This window comes from Homo sapiens, chromosome 12 (assembly GCF_000001405.40).
Source record: "Homo sapiens chromosome 12, GRCh38.p14 Primary Assembly".
Lineage (NCBI taxonomy): Eukaryota > Metazoa > Chordata > Mammalia > Primates > Hominidae > Homo > Homo sapiens.
Window position 1 is genome coordinate 85,865,817 of NC_000012.12, and position 5,553 is coordinate 85,871,369.

The window sequence follows — 5,553 nt, forward strand, 5'->3', positions numbered from 1 at the left end:
CTGGTCCATAGAGACTGCAGCCACCCCTCCCACTAGGGGCTCAGGCCCAGGGAAATCCAGGTTCTGTCCCTGAGCCTCTGGCTGGAGTTATTGGAGTTCCTGCAGGGAAGCCCCACGCAGTGAGGAAGGATGAGTCAGGGTCAGGCCTGAAAAGGCAGTCTGGCTGCCATCTGCCACAGTCAGAGTGTCGGGCTGTGGGAGACACATCTTGGGACCAAGTGGTCCAGCCTCCCGGACTCCAGCAGGGGGAAAATGCAGTCTGGAGCTATAGAGATGAATGCTGCCCTTCCCCCACCCAGGGAGCTTAGCACGTTAGGCAGTTGTGAGTCCCAGTGCTGGCTGCTGCCCTTTCCCCAAGGAGCTCGAATGGCTTAGACAGCAGTCAGCTGCAGCTGTGGTGCTGGCAGCTTGGTAGACTTAAGCAGATTCCATCTGAGAGGCTGTTGAGAATCTGCGCAGCTCCAGAGTTGGGACGCTAGGCCCCAGTGGTGTGGGTTCATGAGTGGGATCTTCCAATCCATGGTTTGCACAGTACCATGGGAAAAGCACAGTTTCCCCAGCTGGGTAGCATGCTCACTCACCGCCTCCCTTGGCTGGGGGTAGGGGGTCCCCTGCCCCATGTGGCTCTCAGGTGGGCCACTGCACCACACTGTTCTTCCTCTCTGTGGATCATGCCAGCCTCCTAGTCAGTTCTGATGAGAGAACCTGGATACCTTGGTTGCCGGTAAAGGATTCTCACACTTATTATGGTTCTTTTAGATGGGAGTCTCCCAACGCCGCTGTTTCTAGTGGGCCACCTTGGCCTCAGCCCCACCCCTCCACCCCAGTTTGTACTTTCTTGTGGAGAAAAATCATCTGAAGCTCAGGAGCACAGAGATGATCCCCTTAAACAGAACCTAAATAGGATATGTTACCTGCCTGGTCCTTGTAGGTATTTGAGTATGGTTATCTGACATATGACCATGTCCATTCAACTTTAGGGCCAGAGAGACTTAGAAAAAAGGTGATGATGTTACATAGTAAAACAAAAGTTTATCCAAGTAGAGATTCCATGATCTAGGAGCTAAAAGATTTGTGTTTACTGGACGATAGCAACAGAATTGATTGTGCCAAAAGCAAGACATTCTGCTGAATAAAGACAAAAAATAGGCTGTCCAAAAAGAAAGCCTATTTCAAAGTGACTAATCCCTTTGATGTGTTCCAACTTGTGGGGATGCTATACAGAAACTCACAGAGAATAAATTATTTCTCAAAGTAGCTTGACCGATGTTGGAGAATCAATCCTTCCCCTGAGAAAAGAAGTGAGGTCAGACTCAGAGCAGTTAGGACCTATGTGATTAAGAGTCGGAAGGTGAAGGAAATTTGTAACCCATCTAGAATATCTGGACTTCTGTCTCTTTCTCTGAAAAATGAAAGTATGAGACTAGCTCCATACAGCCATTTTCAGTTTTACGTTTTCTGGGTCAATGAATTATGATGACATTAAAATATGGTCTAGTACTGTGAGTTCTTGCTTGATATTTCCATTCTGTACATACTAGTGCCGCCACCTAGAGTACAAAGTGGGAAATATTCTCCTTCCCAGGCACCAAGCTTTGACTCCCCTCAGGCTAAAACCCCACTTTTTCTCTGATTCTTCTATGCATACTTTCTGTCTTCTACCCAGTCACGACAACTCATTGCATTCAGAGCCCATTTAGGTTCTTCATGATCTCTGTGTTTAGAAGAAGGATTCTGAGATCAAGGGTCTGTGTTTTTGTTTAATATGTGTAATACAGCTAAGTCTGAAAAGGTGGAAAAACATGGTTAAACTGATGAATTGGAATTAAAATCACACCTAATTTTTTCACTAAATGTACATTCAAGTTAAAAGTATTAGCCTATACTTTGTTTGGCATAATATTTTATACAGCATGTTAATACAAGATTTTCTTTGACTTATTACTTGGGTCTGGTATTAATGTTACAAAGATTAGCTGTTGCTTTGGAATGAAAACATTGCAGTCCTACCCATACTCTACTTAGTAAGTCCCATTGTCCTTAGTTAAACTCTTTGTATCTCTTATTTTTTTTAACCTGCACAATAGGAATAATATCCTGTGAACTCTGCTTCACGGTATGCTATGTTACATGAAATAAAATTAACCTGGCATATAGTAGGTTTTCAATAATGAATTTGAAAAGTATTCTTTAGATTACTCCTAGATCTGTAGTAGTGGTTACAGTGGCTGTTTCTTCTAGACTCAGAATGCTCTAATGTTGACTATAGTCTTCTCTGTCTGACAGCTTGCCGGTACTTATCCTTTCTGCACAAATTGGCTCACCAAATTTGGGGCCTTCTGTAACACCGTACACCCAGTTTTCCTCAAGGACAACTTAGAAAATTCCAACTGAAATTAAATCAATATTCAAGAATCTTTGAAAGGAAGCATTTTTTCATACTATTTCATTTTGCTAGGAATTTCTCCGAAAGAGGTTTCCTGGATTTTATTATTCACAGATTGGAGAATAAAAATGTCCTTGTGAGAGGTGAGGGAGTGGTAGCTTATTCTAAAACCATCAGGGAGGGATTCTTGGAATTCGATTAATTCATTAACGCATATTGTCAATATTTACCGAATGATTACTATGAGGAGAATTATTTATGTTCTGATAATTTAGGGAAACAAGACAAGAATATCCATGCTTTTATTAACAAAAGACAAAAATAAATGAACAAATAAAGACTTGTAGAGATTGAATGGGGATAGTGGTGAAATAGGTTTTAAAATAAATGGTTGTATCAGTCAGCTATTGCCACAAAAATGGTGTATAACAAGTGACTCCAAAAGTCAATTACTTTAAAGCAAATTATTTAACTCTGTTCACATGTCTCTGAATCAGCTAGGGTAACCCTGCTTTAAGCTCGGGAATCTCTCCCTTACATTGCAGGTGTGCAAGTCAGCTGGGGCAGCTTTGCTCCATATGTCCCTCCTCATTTTGGGATCATCTGAGAAAAGAAAAGAGTTTCTCATGGCAATGGCAGAAGAGAGAAAGGGAAAGCCCTATGTGTCAAGCACAAATCAAGTCTGTCTTTTTCTTATGTCTACTAACATCCCACTGGCCAAAGCAAGTCTCATTTCCTAAGTTAAAGTCAAAGAGTGAGGAAGTATATTTCATCCACTCTGGGAGGAGTAAGGGAATGAATATTTGATGAACAGTAATCACAGTTTTCATTGCAGATCTTTAACAAAAAAGCTTAGCATGTTGCACAAAAGCCAGAAGACCAATGTGCTTGAAACATAGGAACAGAAGGGGAGAATGGTGGAATATGATGATAGAGAGGAAGACAAAACCCACTCAGGTAGCATAGGCCATCATCAGGCATGACAAGAGGAAACCTTTAGAATGTTTTAAGCAGAGAATGACAGGAATAGATTTACATTTTTAAAAACTTTTCTGGAGTTTTTGAAAGCTGAAAGGGATCAAGGTTGTAGGGAGACTACTCAAATGGTTATTATGGCAGCGCAGGAGAAAGATGGTGGTGGCTTGGACTTAGGTGGCAAAAATGACATAAGGAAAAGTAGTTAGATTTGAAATATATTTTGGAACAGACCTGCACCCCAGGGGGTTTTGCTAGCTTGGAAGTGGAGGGGAGAGAGAAACAATGTAAATGGATTCTAGTTTTTAGATCTGTGCAACTCAGTAAATCATGGTTCTAATAATTGAAATGAAAAACTCTAGAGGGGCAGAAGATTATTAGAAAGATGTTTGGAGGAATCAAAAGTTTTACTTTAGACAATAAGTCTGCCTAATGAAACTCCAAGTAGGGCTGCTAATGAGGTGATTGCATATACAATTTGAGTAGTCAGAGATACAAACTTGGAGGTTATTAGGAAATAGATAGGATTCAAAACCATAAGACTTATCAGATTCACTGGGAAAGCACAGTAAATTTAAAAAGAATCATAAACCCAAGGAGTATGAATAATATAAAACCATTACATTCCAAATTTAACATGTAATATCTTCTTGAGAAAAAGAAAAAAAGTGTTTCACTGAATTTGCTCCTGATAGACGGTAGCTCAAGTACATCTGCTCTGTTTCAGGTATTGCAGGTGCTATGGAAATTTTCTTAGACTTTGTAATATTAAAAAAGAAAAGAGAAAGTTTTCTTATAATAAGAATTTGTCTCATTTATTACATTAGATAATTACACTAATTTATAAAACTAAGAAACATGAAAGAAGAAATTTGTCAGGAACATTTTTTTCTGTAATACTTTTATTTTGGTCTTATTCAAAAGGGAGACCTATAAGGAAAACTACCTGAGCATTACACATAATGGGTGGTGATTTTGTGAGTATTTACATTTTTTCCTAGACACGAGAAGCAAGATTATAGGTGAAGTCAGCAATGGCTGCAATGTGGAGCATGGTTAGTTAAATACAGTAACTCATTAACATGTAAGTCCCAAGCAAACCGTATTTTGTAATTACGGTTTAAGTTGCAAAATATGCTTTGACTACAGAAGTCAGTCATCAATTTTTCCAGGTTAATTACCTATATGGATGCAATAACAGAGATAGGAAGAGCTGAAAGGAAATGAGCTAGGAATTTGTAAGGATTATGGGCAAAGCAAGGTTACATGCAGATTGGGAAACTGAACGTTTGTTTACATTTACCTAAATCTCCAAGGTTGGGTTATACACATCCTATGTGGGTGTATGCATGCACACATCCATCTGTATTTCTAGAAAATATACTTTAATTGAACAGAAAAATCAATTGGGTTCACAGACTTTGACATCATTATTTGTTCAGATGAATCAGAGTTACAGCTTCAAATGATAGACTCATTTATAGAAATGGAGCAAACTCACAATTTATCTAAACATTCAGCTGATGATTGTACATGATCCAAGGACAATCTTCTTGAATGATTTTTTTAAAGTTAACATTTCCAGTCAGAGAGGAAAAGGATGATGAGAGAAAAGGCTGAGAAAACTGACTATAAAAGCTCACATAAAATATGAAGATTAATGATAACAAAAGAGTGTTAAAAGGTGTGGCTGAAAGAAACATTTAAAATTAAAACATGGAAAGGGCATGTAAGAAATTAAACGTAATCAGTATTTTCATTTAATTTAGTAAGTATGTATTGATCACTTATGGATTATAAACCTTAGAAGTCAGAATGTTCTCCTTCTAGCAGTTTACAGTTTACCATAAACTGTATAAACAAACTACGGAGCATTTAACAGAAAACTAGGAAAAATAGAAGTAGACGAGACTACTTTCAGGACTCAAACTTGGAAATGTTTTTGTTGATTAAGCCATAAAATACAGGATGATCATAGGAAGGTGAAGGGGAGATTCCAGGTTGTAAAAACACAACAGGCCAAGTTTCAGGTATTTAGGTTACCAAAAGATTGGAAAATCCTGGAAGCTGTTAATGAGGTATTAAAGTCACCAGAGCTATAGGAAAAAACCATAAGGAACTGAAAAACCAACCCTTGATCAGTTGGTTCCAGAGCTTGCCCTTCTCCAAACAAAATAAGCTTACAGACCACT

At 38.8% G+C, this 5,553-nt stretch overlaps 1 annotated feature.

Moving 5' to 3' along the window:
* Positions 1,473–1,572: a silencer, noted in NCBI's record as "silent region_4690". NCBI's record gives its function as "represses an Ori minimal core promoter by ATAC-STARR-seq in GM12878 lymphoblastoid cells {active_cell/tissue: GM12878}" and the evidence as "EXISTENCE:reporter gene assay evidence [ECO:0000049][PMID:35858748]".